Genomic DNA, 17,398 nt, shown 5'->3' with positions numbered 1-17,398 from the left:
TCAAGACACATGTCCAAGTGCAGGCTCATTTGAACGTTTCATCAGTGGAACACCTCTATCCATCTCACGCCATAGGGTCTCTCTCAACACCACCTGGGCAAACAATCCAAGGGCCTGGGGACAAAATGTTTATCACAGGGGGATGGGGAGATTTAGCCACTGGAAAGAAGGACCATTTTTAACCTAGCCGTTCCCACAAGGGAAACACACTTTCCATTTCCTCTTTCTCTTAACGAATTCTTAACTTCCTCTAGGTTCCCTTTTAGGAGGACCCTAATTTGTTGTTACAAATGCTCCCATTAAAGTCAAAATCCAGTTCATAAGGCACCTTCACTTCCTCTATCTCTTAGCGCTACTTTTCTAATAAGGAACTCATCCTAAAACTGGGAATCATGACAGCCAAATTTCATGGCGCATTTGTCTGCGCTGAATATTTTATCTGGATTCTCTACTTTAATTCATTCACATTTCCCTTCAGTTAATTCTACTTTGAGTCACTCTCTGCCCACCCACCATCCCTCAAGAAGAGTGTTATATCTCCACCCCTTGAAGCAGGTCATATGGGAAGGGAGTAGCAAAGCTAAAAACATAATGCAGACTCTGTCCCCAACCCAAGGGCTAACCCCACGAGTTCTCACTGGAAGCATGAACCCTACTATGTATTTCACCTGAGACCTCCAAGTGCTCACTTGTGGAAGTAAATGAACCCAAGCACTCTGTGGCTGTTGCTTTGCTCAACCCTGTGAAGGTGTTGCAAAATTCAATATGTACCATGTTTCCTTTAGTACTCACTAGGCAATTTACATACATTATCAGGGATCCTCCCAACCACCTGCACAAACAGATACTCCTGCCCTCATTTCAGAAAAGAGGATTCTGAGGGTCAGAGAAGCTCACCGGTCTACATGGATTTGAACCCAGATCTGTCTGGATTTAATGTCGTTTTTTCTGAGGTACCATACTCCTTCACCTGTATAGATGAATAAACTGACCAAGGAATTGATTTTTTGTTTTTTAAATGAGCTCATAATAAAATCCAGGAGGAATGGTTACAAGATAGACCTGAGACTGTTCTCAGAGTGCCTGGGCAGTTTCCAGCCTTTACTTCACAGCATTGCGCCAACCTCAGCTTCTCCTAGAGTAGGGTTGCCAGATAAATACAGGACACCCAGTTAAATGTGAATTTCAGAGAAACAGTGAATAATGTTTGAGTATAAGTATGTTCCATGTAGTTCATGAGACATATTTGTAGTGAAAAAAAAAACCATTGAGTGCTTATCTGAAATTCAAATCTGAGTGTCCCGTGCTTTTATTGGCTAAATCTGGCAATCTCTTCCTGCTGGGAAGTCTCCTGCCTGGCTCCAGGTCCCAAGTGTTGCTCCAACAGAAGTTGCCATGGCAGCCTGGCAGGCCTTCCAAAGCCTTCTAGAGCAGTCTCCACTCACCCCTGCAGCTTCCCCTCGCCCCTGCACGCTCTAGGTTCCCAACAAGCCCAGCTACTTTCATTTTCCTGGATGCCGCCCGCTGCTTCCAGCCTCCTGCTGCTTTTAGCCTCCAGTCTCTGCACTTGCTGTTCTTTCCCCTCTTCTCTTGTGCTAATTTCTAGTCATCCTTCAGCTCTCAATTTGGAGTCACTTCTGCCAGGACGCCCTCCTGGCCATTGCTGACTGGCTCCCCCCACAGCCCTCTAGTGCAGGGTTGGATAGTACCCTGCACCTTCCCCTGGCAGCCCTCCCTCAACCACCCGGTATCCCACACTGCCCTGGTGAGCAGAGGCCATGCCACACTCACCTTGTCCCCACACCTTGCACCTGGCCGCAGGTGGGAAGCCAGTGAGTGCCTCCTGAATGGATGACTGCAGACTGTCCCACCAATGCTGGGGCTCTCCAGTGTGACTACTTCCTTCCTCCCTTCTGTCTTTAGTCACTTTTTCATCAGTGTCCTCCTCCCCCTCCCCCAGAGTGGTTGGGAAAGACAGGGCCTTCAGCAACAGCACTTGGGGTGAACAGAGAGCATCCCACGTAGAGGGGCCTCCCAGCACCCACCACCACATCACACCACGTGCACTGCCCCAGTGGGCTCAGACCCAGCCACAGCGCAGCTTCCGAGTTCCTCCTGGCTAAAGCCACCTCTAGGCACAACTTTCTGCTCTTGTCCTTCTGCTGGCTCCTTAAATGAGCGGACTTGGATTTTGCTCCCAGTTTGGGGTATAGGGAGATGCCAGTGTCATGTGGTCGAGGCTTAGGGCAGGTGGCAGGGCTTGCAGAACATCACCCATATGCCGCTCCACGCTCACCCACCCAAAGCGGTGCCCACGCGCAGCCTGACAGCAGGCAGAGGCAGCTCTGAACTTAACCCTTGAGTGGCACTCAGGAGGCGGCTTCTCAAGATACCAGAATGGCCAGTGTTAACTACACACACACACACACACACACACACACACACACATACACACGAGCTCCCCTGTGCCCCAGAACACCCTTGCTTTCCTCCAGCCAGGGCTTGATTCAGAAGATGACCTCTCAGGTGCAAGGAGTGGCTGCAGGAGAGTCAGGGTGGGCTGGGGGTGAGACTATAACCCCTGGGGCTGCGGAAGGGCCCGGGAGGGAGCGGGGAGCGGGGGCAGGAGCTGAAACCCCGTGGCTCCCTAACCTGAGCTTTAGAGGCAGCAGCCTGGCTGTGCCCTCACACCGTCACCCCTAGCCTCCCCCAGCCTCCCCTGTCTGAATATGTTGAGAGGACAAAGAGGGAGAAACACCCTATAGTGTCAAATTTACTCCAAAAATAGAACCCCTCTTCCCCGCGGAAGGCTGGCGAGCTCCGGGCATGTGCACAGCACCCACGGCTCCGATTTCCTGGGTCTGGCCGTTTCTCCGGGAACTCCCAGCTCAGGTGCCCAGGATCCCGGAATTGTCCCCAACCCCTGCCACCCGGTCAAGCCTCCAACTTCTGCCGGGCGCAGCGCTCAGCCCTGGCTCGCGGGAGGGACTCACCCAGGGAGGCGCGGACTCCAGCGACTACTCCTCGGGCACCGCCAGGTGAGCCGGGACGGCGGCAAGTACAGGTAAGTCGGCCGGGCAGGTAGGTGTGCAACGGCTCCGGAGGCTGTGGCTGAGTAAAAGGGCTGACAGGTTAGATTCTCCCTCCTCCTCTGAGTTGTTAACCACACCCCTGCTGCTCTCCTCCCCACTTCCTTAAAGGGTGGGGTGTGTTGTCTGTGTGTGCCGGCTCCAGCCTCTTACCATAAACTCTGAAATAGACGCTGCCACCAATTCCCTGAGCGCCGGGCAGACCTGGGGGGCGATCTCTGCCATTCCCCCGGCCGCAAATGGGATCCTCGGATGTTATGTGCCCCTTGTGAGCAGTTAACTCCCCAATTCCTAACACCCCTCCATCCTCTGTCCACTCCACCTGCAGCCTTTTGGAGGCCAAAAGGTGTGTGTGAGGTGGGTGGGGGCGCAGGGCGGGCGGAGGAAACCAACTTCTCAGGCTGGTTCTCCCAAGACCCCCCGCAGTGGGAGATGTTATATCTACATGGTACTGAGCACTTGTGTCCTAATCTCTCCATGTCCTAAAGTGGCCCCAGTCCCTTTGCAGGCATGAAAAATCATAAATACCACTAGGGATTTTGGCAGAACCGGTCCAGGTCCCTGAACACAGAAGACCAGGTCCCTGAGCTGTGACTAAGTAGGGTCTGAGGACAGCACAAGAATAGTTAGAGATGCTGGACAGCCCCTTCCAGGGGCCCCGCCCAGAGGCTGGTCCCCTCTTTCCTCAGGCCGGTGATATGTGAGCAGGCACTCAAGGGCACTTAGCAACACTTCTTCCCTATCCCTAGGAAAACTCCAGACTTGCTCCTGAGTAGGAGGAGGAAGTGACCTGGACTTGGCATAAAGTGAAAAAAGTGGAGTGTACGCAGCATCATCCTCATCCTACAATGTCCTCTCCAGAGCCCCTGTCCCAAGCTTCTTTATTCTGTGTCCTGTGCAGGATTGGAATCTGATTCCCAGAGCTGCCCTGTTGCACAATTCTAGAGGATGCTATTCACAATGTACTTTCTGAGAATGGCGCCCCCTGGAGTTGTGCTGAGGAAGCACTCAGTTTCCAAGATTGCACTGACTCCTTCCCATTTCTGAAAAGAAACTGGAGACTTAGATAAGTTAACAAAGCTAGGAAGTCAATGTTTCTCAAAGTATAATTAGTGGACTACCCATAGCTATTGGCTGGATGTCACTCTGGGTCCGATGAAGATCAGACTCTCTGCAGCTAGGGCCCACCTGCCCAGCATGGGGCTCACAACCCATTGATGGGCACTGCCAGCCTTGACAGCTGGAGCCCCCCCACCCCTTCCCATTTGTGCTATTCACAGATTTGTCACGTTCCCAGCACTCAGCATTTTGGAGGTAATCTTGGTGACTACACAGCGGTCAGCAGGTCAGAAGGTGGTCAGGTGGGAGAACTTGGCCAGGGATGGAGAGGCAAGTCAGACAGAGGTACACTGAAGTTAGCAGGGAAGGTGTGGGGATGAGGAGGCAGGTAATTGACTACATGGCAAGGACATGGTCAGAGGGCATCTGACAGTGGGTGTCCCCTCCGTATTCTTGCGCTTGGAAATGAAGTGATGAAGGCTGAGTGGCACAAAAGTTAGATACCTGGGTGAGTTGTTGAGAGTCTGTACTAGGAGGTGGCAGTGGGAACTAAAAGCAAAGACAATCAAGACCTGTTTAAGAAAAGGAGAGTTTGTGTGTGCTGCCCCTGTGTGGCCACATAAATGAACTACAATCTTATCTTGCTGGGACCAATTCTGGGAAAGGTGAGTTTTCAGAGGTTGTTGAATTCTTCAGCACTTTAAAAAAAGAATCTCCCAAATCTACCTCACAGAATCATAAACCCATAGCTTTTTAAATGAAAAAGACATTGAGAAACTCTCTGGGGTGGCCAACTCCGCCATCAGGTCTCCCTAGGTTCTGTCCAGTGTCATGTACAAGCAACTCAGGTGACAAGGTCATGCATTTCTGCCTGTTACTGCCTTTTAAAAAAACCCATCAGAAATGCCTCAGGAGCCCTCAAATTCCATGGAAATCCCTAAAAGACACTATCCATGGCGATGCTCTCCATATGGCATAAGTTGCAATAATGATCTACCCCAGTTAGAGAAGAAAAATATTTCCCTTCTACTTCTGTATCTCAAGCTGACCAAGTGCCATGTGGGAGGCCCTAATTGTGGGGGTGTTGGGGGGATGCATACCTGGATCAGAAGAAGGAGAAAACTGTAATGAAAAAGGCCTTTGAACAAATGTCCTTTCAGCTGCTGGACTCTTCCATTTGGATGTTCCACTCTTACCCCAAACTCAGGTCTATAACCCTGGCTCATATTGCTCTTCAAACAAGCCCCGTTCCAGCCCTCCCTGTGAATGTCAACAAAAGAGAAGTCACCTTTGACTCTCCCTCTCCCTCCTTACCCTGCAGCCATGCAATCTCCAATCTCTAAGTCCTGGGAGTCCCACAAACTTTTTTCCTATTCCTCGTTTTCTTTCCTGTCCTATTGACCCATCCTGGTTCAGGTTCTCTTTTCTTATCTTTTCACTAACTGGAGATCACAAAGGTGGTTGAGCTGGTGATTAACTTTTGGGATGGCATTTGAAACCACAAGAATGGATAAACTTGTCTAAGGCAAGAGTCAGAGACAGCAGAGGACTTCAAGTGAAGCTCTTACCAGGAGCAAATGAATGAAGAGCCAAAGGTCAAGTGGGGTGGGCTGATAAGTAAACTGAAAGTGAAGACACAGAGGCGGCACGCGCTGATGAGTCCTGGAAAGCTTGACTGCCAAGGGCAATTGAGACCAGGGGATATTGGAGGGGGTCGTGGGTTGAAAGAGGACTGATTTGTCATTTAGGATGATAGCCAGTAGAGCAGGTTTCAATGCTCACAGGAAGGATCCAGTCAAGAGGGAAGAGGTTGTGACTTTGGACATGCGAATCCATCTTTCTGAGCTTTTATTTCCTAATCTAGAAAAGTAGAAAAATAAGTATTATCTGTTCTACCTGTTTCCCAGGGTATTGTGAAGCCCAAATTAAGTGATAGGTGTACAAATGCTATGAAAAATTCTATAGCTATAATTTTTAGAAATGATAGCAATTAAAGTAAGCTTTATGGGGAGATAGTACATACATACCTGCCATATAGTTTATCAAGTGTTCACTCTGTGCCAAGAACTTTCATCTGCCGTCTAGCTTGTCTTCACAACCGTCTATGAAGTTGCTAGTCCTATTCCTGGTTTGCAGAAAGGAAAAGGAAGCTTGGATAAGGTAAATAAATTATTCACAGGCTCCCAGGTGGTAAAGAGCAAAACCCATCATTGGCAGGGCTGCGACATTATGTAACTGGCATCTCTCCATTGTAAATGATGGAATTTAAATTACATCATGTAAATTTACTATTATGTAGAATAAATTTTATTTTAAAAGAACAGTATGGTTATAAGTATTCTAACAAAAAAAATGGATAAATACAAAAACTAGCTGGGCATAGTGGTGTATGCCTGTAGTCCCAGCTCCTTGGTGGGGCTGAGGCAGGAGAATCGCTTGAACCTGGGAGGCAGAGGTTACAGTGAGCTATAATCATGCCACTGCACTCCAGCCTGGGTGACAGAGTGATAGTCCATTTAAAAAAAAAAAGGGACAAAGAAAAACTTATGGGTACAAGTACTGAAAAAAGTACTTCATCACCAAGGGATGTCTACCTCTAATTTAACCAGACATCACTATGTTTACGAAGTGGGCCACAGTTGAGGCCAAAATAAGTTGAGTATGGCTTGAATAGAACTCAAAATCATGCCCTCAACCTAAAAAAGAACTTTCTCTTTTCTTTCCTTAATATTGGAATCCCTGACTTTCAGATGGTCACAGCCTGCCCAAAATGAAGGCTACATTTCCCAGTCTCCCTTGCATGTGTGACCAGGTGCGACCATGTGATTAAGTTCTCCGCAATGGTTGAAGAGTAGAAGTTATGCACGCAACTCCAGAATCATGCCCCTCAAGGGAATGAGCACATCCTCCAATATTTTCCACTTTATCTTTTCCACCTCCACCTGACAATGAAACCTGGAGCAGCCATCCAGTCTATGATGTTAAGAATCCGGGTACCTAATGCCGTCCAGCCACCATGCTTACCCTGGACATAGTCTGAACCTAGTTTAACTTTTACATGAGAAAGAAATTTAAGTTGCTTGGGTTACTTTATTTTGGCCTTTCTGTTACCATAGCCTGAACTGCATCGGTGATACTATGACATAATAAGAAATATATATTTGGTCTCTGACCGTGCACACAACTTCTAAAACCCTTGGAATTTCTGGAGTGTTAAGAATGTTTTTTTGAGGCCAGGCATGGTGGCTCATGCCTATAATCCAAACACTTTGAGAGGCTGAGGTGGGAGGATTGCTTGAGGCCAAGAGTTCGAGGCCAGCCTGGCCAACGTGGCAAGACTTCATCTGTACAAAAAAATACAAAAATTAGCTGGGCATGGTGGTATGCACCTGTAGTTTTAGCTGCTTGGGAGGCTGATGCAAGAGGATTGCTTGAGCCCAGGAGACTGAGGATGCAATGAGCTATGATTGCACCAGTGGATGAATTTAGCTTGGGCAACAGAGCAACACCCTGTCTCAAAAAAAAAAAAAAAAAAAAAAAAAAAAAGCCTTTTGTATGCCAATGAGATGCCTGGTGGCTTAGGTATCTTAGATCCCTTAGATAGCTTCAGGATGAGGGCTGGTCATCAGAAAAACTGAGGTATGATGAGAAGGCTGAACTTTCAGCGCTATCCCTAAAACTTGGGGAAGGAAAGGGGCTGAAGGTTGAGTTGATCACCCATGGCCAATACTGTAATCAGTCATGCCTACATAAAGAAGCCTTCCTAAAAACCCAAAAGAACATGGTTCAGAGCTGAAGTTGCAGAGGTTCTCAAAGGGTGGCACTTTAAGGGAAGGCATGAAGCTCCATGCCCCTTCCCACAGACCTCACCCTGTGCATCTCTTCCCTTTGGTTGCTCACCTGTATCTTTCACAATATCTTTTTTAATAAAGGACAAAAGAAAGAAAAGTGTTTCTCTGAGCTTTGTGAGCCACTCTAGCAGATTAATCAAACCTAAGGAGGGGTCATGGGAACCCTGATGTATAGCCAGTCAGTCGGAAGCACAGGCCACAACCCGGGACTTGCTACTGGCATCTGAAGCTGGAGCGGGGTGGCAGGGTGGGGAGTTGGGGCAGTCCTGTGGGACTGAGCCCTTAGCCTGTGGGATCTGATGCTATCTCCAGGTAGATAGTGTCTGAATTGAGCTGAATTATGGGACGCTCAGTGTTGTGGGACTTTTCCTTAGTTTAGCTAAAGACGGGGTCCTTGTCTCATGGCCATGAAAGATTAGGCTCACAGACAATTTGAAGGGTGAGTAAGGCAGGGTTTTATTGGGTGAAGAGGGAAAAAAATGGCAACAGGGACCCTTCACAAAGCCAGAGTCCCTACGTGCTTCCTACCTCACAGTTTGAATCGCAGGTACCACCCAGGAAAAGGAGGGGCCAGACTCCTCCCCACTACAAACAGCAGGAACTCCTGTGGCTCCACCCCAATGCGCACTCCTCCCAGTATACAGGCTGGCTAGAGTTTCTCTGGGGACCCTTCCCACCCGGCTGTCTCACCAGCTGGTGTTCACTGGCAATCAGTTGTTGGTGGGGAGAAACTCCTGCACATCCAGCATCAGACGTGACTGTTGGGTGGTACAGAAGAGTACAGAGAAATATGCAGCGTTTTTCTTTTCTTCAGAGCATCCTAGCTAATACACCACCATTTATCCTATTTTCTTTTAGATATAAGTTAAGGCAGAACCTCAATTTTCTCATGTATAAAATGGGATTAATTTACCTTATGGGATGTTAGAAAAACTAGAAGTACATGTGCATTTCCTTGCTATTGCTATAGCTCATAACTGACCATTAATGGATATTATGTCCTGTTGTAATTTTTTTTTTTTTTTTTTTTTTGAGACAGAGTCTTGCTCTGTCACCCAAGCTAGAGGGCAGTGGTGCAATCTTGGCTTACTGCAAGCTCTACCTCCCAGGTTCATGCCATTCTCCTGTCTCAGCCTCCCGAGTAGCTGGGACTACAGGCGCCCGCCACCGGGCCTGGCTAATTTTTTTTGTATTTTTAGTAGAGACGGGGTTTCACCATGTTAGCCCGGACAGTCTCGATCTCCTGACCTCGTGATCCTCCCGCCTTGGCCTCCCAAAGTGCTGGGATTACAGGCATGAGCCACCATGCCCCACCCTGTTGTAACTTTTTAAAACGGGTTCCTGAAAAAAAAAAAAAGGTTGCTTTAAAATATTCCACCTCCCCCATCCAAAAAAAAATCTGTAGAGGGGAGAGATAAAACGAAAATAGCAAAGTTGATAATAATGCAAGCTGAATGATGGGTATGTGGGGGTTAATTATACTGTTCTCTCTAAAATATTGAGTGCATTTGAAACTGCACATAATGAAAAAGTTAAAAAAAATGAACAAAATAAGATCTTTCCACAGAGGATAAAAAAGGGCTCCTGGAAATAATCCAATGTGAATCTCTTTGGGAAAAATAAAGACATAGTTAAACCATTGAAAAATTGATTTGGGTCAATTTTTGGAAGGATGGAAAACACTGAAGAGCATTTTTAATTGTTCCATTAAAGAACAACACGAAAGGCCAGGCGCAGTGGCTCACGCCTGTAATCCCAGCACTTTGGGAGGCTGAGGTGGGCAGATCACTTCAGGTCAGGAGTTTGAGACCAGCCTGGCCGACATGGTGAAACCCCATGTCTACTAAAAATACAAAAATTAGCTGGGTGTGATGGTGCATACCTGTAATTCCAGCTACTCCGGAGGCTGAGGCAGAAGAATTGCTTGAACCCTGGAGGCGGAGGTTGCAGTGAGCCGAGGTCATGCCACTATACTCCAGCCTGGGCAATAGAGCAATACTCTGCCTCAAAAACAAACAAACAAAACCATGCAGAGAAAGCCTCAATGCCACAGAGGACACATGGTTGCCACAGAGGACACATGGTTTCCGCAGCTATTGGGCACGCTTCAGGATTTCCATAACTCCCCAGGTTGCTGCAGGGCTGGCCTGCAGGCTGCTCCTAGAAAGAGTGGCTGCCTGGAAAAGGAGACTTCCCTGATGCCCTGCCGACTCTGAATCAGCTCTATGACTTTGGTCTTCTTGGCTCTGAACCCCTAACCCCCACCTGTGAGTGGGCTCATCTGGTCCCCAACATCCCATGGATAAGCTCTGAAGCATTGAGTGACTGCCCAAACCTTGCTTGCCAGTGTCGAATTCCATAATTTTAACAAACGTGGTGATCTGGTCCCAGCCCACCGTGTGCAGGAAACATCAACTAGGAAGTGAAAGCAGATTGCTGCAGGCAAATGCATTGTTAGGAACAAGAAGAACTTCTAGACAGGAAAAAAATGCCTAGCATGTGCAAGAGCCCTCAAAACCAAGCATCTGTGGCCATTTACAGGACAGAGACAAATAACCCTGCATACTTCATTAACTCCTATTACTTTATTAGCCAGCACAGTAGAGTATTATTGTCTATTTTGGTGCATCATGAGGTATGATTTATATTACGTTCTGCATGCTTTAGAGAAAAAAAACCACAAAATATATTTCTGAAATATTCCCATTCAAAATGTTTCCAATAAAATAATTGAGTGCTTCAATATAAATTTCAGGAACATGGAAAATCAGCTTTGTGTTGTGTCCAGTTGCCAAGTTGGCTGTCTATTCCTGTACCACTCCAGTGTCTTTATAATGAATTGCAGCAATGTGTAACTTCATGTGGATGATCTAAACAAGAGGTCGAAAGCCGAAATGCCTACAGGGGCCGAGCAGGGAATGTGAGGGAAGCTGGCTGGATAGGAACTGTGGCAAATGGGAGAACAAATGTCCCTCCTACAGGGAGCAGCTGCTATTCAGCTCAAAAGTCTATTGCCATGCAGAAAAGTAAGCTTAATGAAGCCAGATCCTCCTTTTTTCAAAACGCAAAGGCAGACAGTGAACTATCTGCAAAGGAAGTTAAGAAAAAACAATTCCATTTACAATGACAGCAAAAATAAGATACTTGGAAATACGCTTAACCAAGGAGGCAAAAGTCCTGCATGATGAGAACTACAAAACATTGGTGAAATAATAGAAGGCATAAGGAAATGGAAAAGACATCCTGTGTTCATGGATTGGAAGACATAATATTGCCTAGGTCACTGCCTATCAAATGGAAAATTTTCTCCCTTTTATAATAAATAGCAGAGCCCCTAATGTATCTCAGGTAATCACCTTCATCACATGATTCAGGTAAATTCTGATTAGCTCAAATCAATCATGATGGTCTTATTCCCCTTGCCAGTGATGAATTTAGAAGTGAACATGTGACCCAGTTCTGGCCAATAAGATGCAAGGGAGTATTCTGGAAGGTTTTAAGAAAGGTTTCTTAGCTCTGAAAATGAGACATACAGGGAGAAATGGCCTTATTTCATTTCTGGACATTGGTTCATATCAGGATAAGATGCTGGAGTTGCTGCAGTCATTTTCCAACCAAAAGGAAGCCATAGGCTGACCAGAGAGAGGATGAATCTAAAGTCACTGACATAACCAACAGTGGATGCCTTTTGCCTCCAGATTTCCTGGTATGTGAGATAATACACCCCCTTATGGCTTAAATCATTTTATGTTGCATTTTATCTATATGTAGCTTAAAAGATCATAAATGATACAGACAGAAAAAAGTATAGGTCAAATAAAAGATGTTTGCAGTCAAATATGACCCAGAGGCAGGCAGTTTACCACCCTCAGTGTTTCCCTAGTTACTTGGATTAAACACTATTTCTCACAGAAGTTCTCCCTGCATTATTCAGATCAACTGAGAGCTCCCACCCTCCTTGTTTCTGTAGTTTAGGCCTCAGTAAAGGTACATCGGACTACAGTGATTTCCTCAAAGATTTACTTGGTAACTCTGATGAACAAGGTCGATTATGTCTGCAGTGCCAGGATGCCTGTTTCCGAAGATGCTGCTGCCAGCCCTGTGGCTGACTTTATTTAGCAACTGTTGTCCTTATCCCAATATTTTGTTATCTGAAATCTGCTTTGTCTGATATTAACATAGTCAAACCAGCTTTGTTTTTATTAGCATTAGTGTGGTATATCTTCTTCCATCCTGTTAGTTCAATCTGTATGCTTACATTTAAAGTTAAGTTCCTTATAGCCAGCATATAGTTGAGTCTTGCCTTTTTATATAATCTAACAATCTCTGCCTTTATTTGCAGTAGCCACTTTCTAGTTCACTGTTTCAGAAAAAAAAAAAAACAAGGCAATTTCCTCCTTTACTCTCTGCACCTGGGAATTTATTTTCTTAACAATTTAAAAAGTTATTCCTTACACAAATTTACATGGTGATGGCAAGGGGTTTGGAAATCTGGCAGTGCTTGGCAGGGCATTTGGGAGGTGGGATGCAGGAAATTAGAGATTATGAGAACTTTTGAGTAAGCTCTTGCAGAAGATTAGCTAGTATACATAGGACTTGAACATCAATAAGGACCTCTGAATAAGGTCCTTTGTATTGAAAGGAGAAATATAAATTGGTGACAGATTGGTTCTAGTCACCAAGATTTCTCTTTCCTGGTCTCTGGCTAAGTCTTAGTCACCCTTACCCACCCCCCCACCATATGCAAAGAATAAAACAATTTCAGAGCATCTAAGTTGGTCAGAACTTGGAGCAATTAGTTCCATCTTTTCTTTTATAGTGGAGGAAAAGCAAGTTAGAAAAGTGAAATAATATGCCCCAGGTCCTGCCCCTGGGTAGTGGTAGAGCTTGGACTAGAACTAAGTCCTTTCTGGATTTCCAGAATGATTGAAGAGCCTTATTGGTTTAATGTTAACCTTTGTATTGTAGTTTAAAAGATACAATTTCTACTCTTCCTTCTTGTTTTTGATTTGTGGCCCCATTCAGAATATGAGAAAAAAAAAAGACCCAACAAAATAAGGAAGATCAGGTAAGAACAGAATGAAACACATAGACAGCAACACATATCGATTCACAACACAACTGGGACACAGAGATAAGAGAACACAGTGAAAGAGAATGAGACGACGTAAGAGTCTCTGCGTTGGGGGGAGGGGAGAGGGCTATCTGGAGTGTAGCGTTGTTAGCCCCATCTTGTGGCTTTTTTGGATATTGCCTCTAAGGTTAATTTTTGAACCACTAACCAACCATAGCTGGAGACCCAACAACTTGTTGGGTGAATAGATCTAGGATAATTGCTTTCAAACTTTCTTGCACCTCAGAATCACCTAGCATGCAAGTGAAAATGAAGATTCCTGGGCCTCACTTTCCACAAGAGAGATGAGTAGATTAAAGTGGGCCCAGGAAACTGCTTTTAGAAAACTCCCCAGGTAATTGCAGGAGAACCATGAACCACATTTAAGAAACACTGAAGGCAATTAGAGTTAGTGGTATTCATCCCTTGTCATTGTGAGGAAAGGACTATGCTGAGGAAAAGTGTGGAAAGAAATTATTAAGAACTTTAAAGGTCTGAGATTTTACCCTACTTGCAAGCTAATGTGTGGGCCAAGGGAAAACGTCTCCTTTGCCCCTTGAAGTTTCACTGCAAATCACTGACAAAAAGGTTAAGAAGAGGAAAGGGATAGAAGTTTATTTATTTTTTTGAGACAGGGTCTGGCTCTGTCACCTGGGCTGGAGTGCACTGGCACAATCTCGACTCACTGCCACCTCCCGGATTCAAGCGATTCTCCCACCTCAGCCTCCAGAGTAGCTGGGACTGTTAATGGTGGAGGGTGTCCAGGTTATTGGCATCTTGAACAAAGAATTGGAAAAAACGCACAAACTAAGCAGGGAAGGCATGAAGGGTTTTATGGAAAATGAAAGTAAACTCCACAGTGTGGGAACCGGCCTGAGATAGGGGCTCAAAGGCCCCATTACAGAACTTTTGGGGGTTTAAATACCCTCTGGAGGACTCCATTGGTTACCTGGGGTACGCCCTATGTAAATGGAGAGGATGAAGTAAAGTTACAAAGTTATTTACTTGGCCTACGCCCTATGGGGAGGATATTTGCTGTCGCAGCTGAAGTGTGAATTGGCCTTATGTTCCCTGCCTCCAGACCCTATTTTCCTGCCTCAGGCTATAGGCGCACACCACCACACGCGCCCGTTGTATTTTTTGTAGAGACGGGGTTTTGCTATGTTGCCCAGGCTGGTTTTGAACTTGTGAGCTCAAGGCCTTCTTCGACCTCCCAAAGTGCTGGGGTTACAGGTGTGAGCCACCACTGGCACCTGGCCCGATCCGCCATGCCTGGCCTGATCATAGTTTTATGTGACATGGGAGCCTTCAGAATGAAGACCTAAAGATAGACTGGAAATGGCTCATTTTCATGCTTAGGTTCAGCAAAGTATGAGTAGCTGTGTAGAAATATGATTGAACAAAAGGGTATGAGCTAATGTTAATAAACTGAGTGGGGAACCTAGGCCTGTCTGTCTAGATTTTTCTTGGCCTCTACGAACATGCATTTCTTCCTTCCAGGTATGTTACAGGTAGTTAGACAGGCATGAGCAGGGCAGGAGAGGACTCTACCCTCCCCAATCCCCTCAAGCAAGAATGCCAGGTGATGGTTTCACAGTTATCACACTGCCTTTCTAAAATGGATAATTTGGCAGATGGGCCAGAGAGAGGGAGAGAGACAATTCCCTGATGGTCCACAGCTGTCACTAAAGTGTTACTTGATGTTAATTGATATTAAAGCAGGTGCCAGGCATAGGCAATTTCCCAAACAGATAAAAACACTTGAGATTGGTAATCAGCTTCCAATAAAATTTCAGAAATTGGGTGAGTGAGCTTGGGCATGCACATTAAGAGACAAAATAGTGGAGTATGACCTTCCGGGGGCATTCCACTGGAAAAGGGAAGAAAGCCTCAGATGGGCATGTGTACAAATTCCTAAGCACATGGTGCATGCTCACCTCCCAAGCATAGGGAGGGCACTGTGCATTCGGGCAGCTCACACTGAGGGAAGAATGAAGGGAGAGGGCAGCAAGACTCCAGAAGTGGGCCAGCATATGAAGTCCCAGGATCAGGGTTAAATGCCACACTTGTCCCTCAAGTTGCCCGCTTGGGTCTCTTCCAAGTGTACTTTCTTTTCTGTCCCAAACTTTTTAATAAACTTCCACTCTTGCTCTGAAACTTGCCTCAGTTGCTTTTTCTGCCTTATGCCCTGTATTAGTCCATTTTCACATTGCTATAAAGAACTGCCTTAGACTGACTGGGTAATTTATAAAGGAAAGAGGTTTAATTGACTCACAGTTCCGCATGGCTGGCGAGGCCTCAGAAAACTTACAATCACAGTGGAAGGTGAAGGTGAAGCAAGACACCTCCTTTGCAAGGCTGCAGGAAGGAGAATGAACACAGGAGGAATTACCAAACACTTATAAAACCATCAGATCTCGTGAGAACTCACTCACTATCAGGAGAACAGCATGGGGGGAAAACCACCCCTGTGATTCAATTACCTCCACCTGGTCTCTCCCTTGACACGTGGGAATTATGGGGATTACAATTCAAGATGAGATTTGGGGTGGGGACACAGCCAAACCATATCATGCCCCTCAGTCTAATTCTTTCTTCCAAGGAGGCAAGAATTGAGGTTGCTGCAGACCCATACAGATTCACTGCTGTTAACTCAGACACCTTCTACCCCTAACAGGTATGGGGTAGGACCCTCTCTGGAATCGGGCTCTTATGGCCTACAGTCAAACAAGGTAGGTCAGATAATTTCTTTATGGCCAGTTATTCCACAGAAAGGCAGAGAGAAAGAGTAATATTTTAAGGTTTCAAGACTGGCTTTAGGAAAAAGGGGTTCTGGTTTCTATGACCTGCCTTGGGGAAAAGGAATTCTAATTTCTATGGCTATCCTTGGGGGACTGAGAGATAGGAGGGCAGAGAAAAATTTCTGCTTTTGAGGCCATTTTGGGGTATTGTTTTCTGAGTTTCAACACTAACAAGTTTGCATGCCAAAATTTCATGAATACTGCTAAAAGATGAAACTCCTGGGTCAGAGACAAAGGATAATACTAACAGCAATAATAGTAGTCACAGTATTGTCATTGGGCCAGTTTCTGAGCCCTAATTCTTGCAAGACTATGTGATGAAGGCTACAGTAGGTTGCATTACAGGAGAGGGGCCCCAAGTTTAGGAAACTCACATCTCTTATAATTGGGAATAAGTCTGCCAGATCTTTGGAGAGACAAGAATTCTGTCTTCCAGGGCTATTCAATGCAGAAACATCCTTGAAAAGATAGTTGGAAAAAGGCAGTCAGTGCCTCTGCTCTCTCAAGACATGCAGGAACATGACACATGTGAATTGTCTCCCAATAGAAAAGGAATGAAAGTGCATCGTGTGAAAAGTATTCTGCATCTGGAGGCTGTAAAGTGATCAAACTGAAGCAGGAATGAAGATCTGAAGGAACCATCCAGGCCTACTGTACCTGGCAAGAATTGAGCATGAACTCTAGTTATCTCAGCTAAACTTTGCAGAAGTCCTCAATTTCACTGTTTTAATGGGCACTTGCCCATTAAAACAGTGGTTGTCATGAGCACTTTCCACATTTATTTCACTTTATCCTCACACTTCATGGAAACAGAGCTATTACAGCCATTGTACTCATGAGTAAATGGACTTTGAAACATGATGACCTGTTCACTTTTTCAACCACAGGACAAGAATCAGGTTTTCTCGGAGCTCTTCTGCCGCCACCCCTCTCTTGTTTCTCCTTACCGCGGCGGGCCAGAAGAAGACTGGCCAAAATAAGTAAACGACTAATGCAAGAGTGGCATAGGTCCTCAAAAAGGCGCTGCAAACTTAAGTGGTGATTGCACTCACGGTGCTTTAAGACCCAGCCACTACTTCGGAAGCAGGAAGTTGGCATCTCTGGTTTCTCCCATCCGCGGGCCTGAGGTTCCCGGGGATTGGTTAAGGTAGAGGCTCCTTTTCCCATTTGCAGCCGGAAGTAGGTTTCCAGTAACACGGAAGCCCTACTACGCCGCCTGGGAGACCCTTCCGTGCTACCCCGGCCAGGGACCCGCCCGGACCTGAGGAGGCGGGAACTGCGGGCAGAAGGCCCACCCCGCTCTCCCAAGATTTCCCGCGCACACCGGAAGTGGGTGGGGCTCCTCCGAGCGCCCCCTCCCTCCCCCTCGCCATCCCCCCCGCACGATTGGCCAGCGCCGCTGTCTCTCAGCGTTCCAGGGGAAGGGACTGGGCGATTCCCAGCACTCGGGTCGCGGGCGTTGGCAGCCGGGCGGGTGGGAGGGGC

The 17,398-nt window shown here is 46.4% G+C and overlaps 1 protein-coding gene across 35 annotated transcripts in view, besides 6 other annotated features; it reads right to left on the bottom strand.

Moving 5' to 3' along the window:
• The window catches only part of PTK2B (protein tyrosine kinase 2 beta), a 148,886-nt gene that overhangs the window by 130,717 nt on the left and 771 nt on the right, over window positions 1-17,398 (bottom strand). For 5 of the 35 annotated variants that reach the window (XM_047421547.1, XM_047421555.1, XM_047421549.1 and 2 more), the window contains exons 1-6: window positions 16,966-17,197; window positions 16,288-16,371; window positions 15,388-15,470; window positions 6,176-6,273; window positions 5,249-5,408; window positions 2,994-3,111 (exon numbers count right to left, since the gene is read on the bottom strand). The gene's annotated coding sequence lies outside the window, so the exon portion shown is untranslated. Of the gene's footprint in view, window positions 1-1,791; window positions 1,894-2,993; window positions 3,124-3,242; window positions 3,692-5,248; window positions 5,409-5,716; window positions 6,009-6,175; window positions 6,274-8,689; window positions 8,758-15,387; window positions 15,471-16,287; window positions 16,372-16,778; window positions 17,198-17,398 lie in introns of those variants that run through there. The other 30 variants (XM_047421531.1, XM_047421548.1, XM_047421556.1 and 27 more) reach the window with 19 other exon arrangements.
• Window positions 1,040-1,236: a silencer, noted in NCBI's record as "fragment chr8:27184956-27185152 (GRCh37/hg19 assembly coordinates)". NCBI's record gives its function as "represses an EF-1alpha promoter that drives an FKBP-Casp9 reporter gene in an ReSE screen in HepG2 liver carcinoma cells {active_cell/tissue: HepG2}" and the evidence as "EXISTENCE:reporter gene assay evidence [ECO:0000049][PMID:32094911]".
• Window positions 1,394-2,223: an enhancer, noted in NCBI's record as "H3K4me1 hESC enhancer chr8:27183969-27184798 (GRCh37/hg19 assembly coordinates)". NCBI's record gives its function as "activates a minimal SCP1, AML or CMV promoter by ChIP-STARR-seq in naive H9 embryonic stem cells {active_cell/tissue: H9 hESC(naive)}" and the evidence as "EXISTENCE:reporter gene assay evidence [ECO:0000049][PMID:30033119]".
• Window positions 1,979-2,048: an enhancer, noted in NCBI's record as "active region_27137". NCBI's record gives its function as "activates an Ori minimal core promoter by ATAC-STARR-seq in GM12878 lymphoblastoid cells {active_cell/tissue: GM12878}" and the evidence as "EXISTENCE:reporter gene assay evidence [ECO:0000049][PMID:35858748]".
• Window positions 2,829-2,878: an enhancer, noted in NCBI's record as "active region_27136". NCBI's record gives its function as "activates an Ori minimal core promoter by ATAC-STARR-seq in GM12878 lymphoblastoid cells {active_cell/tissue: GM12878}" and the evidence as "EXISTENCE:reporter gene assay evidence [ECO:0000049][PMID:35858748]".
• Window positions 2,929-3,078: an enhancer, noted in NCBI's record as "active region_27135". NCBI's record gives its function as "activates an Ori minimal core promoter by ATAC-STARR-seq in GM12878 lymphoblastoid cells {active_cell/tissue: GM12878}" and the evidence as "EXISTENCE:reporter gene assay evidence [ECO:0000049][PMID:35858748]".
• Window positions 17,185-17,394: a silencer, noted in NCBI's record as "silent region_19046". NCBI's record gives its function as "represses an Ori minimal core promoter by ATAC-STARR-seq in GM12878 lymphoblastoid cells {active_cell/tissue: GM12878}" and the evidence as "EXISTENCE:reporter gene assay evidence [ECO:0000049][PMID:35858748]".

This window comes from Homo sapiens, chromosome 8 (assembly GCF_000001405.40).
Source record: "Homo sapiens chromosome 8, GRCh38.p14 Primary Assembly".
In the NCBI taxonomy this organism is placed as follows: domain Eukaryota; kingdom Metazoa; phylum Chordata; class Mammalia; order Primates; family Hominidae; genus Homo; species Homo sapiens.
The sequence above is the reverse complement of the archived record's forward strand: the minus strand, read 5'-3'. Positions and strand labels throughout refer to the sequence as shown.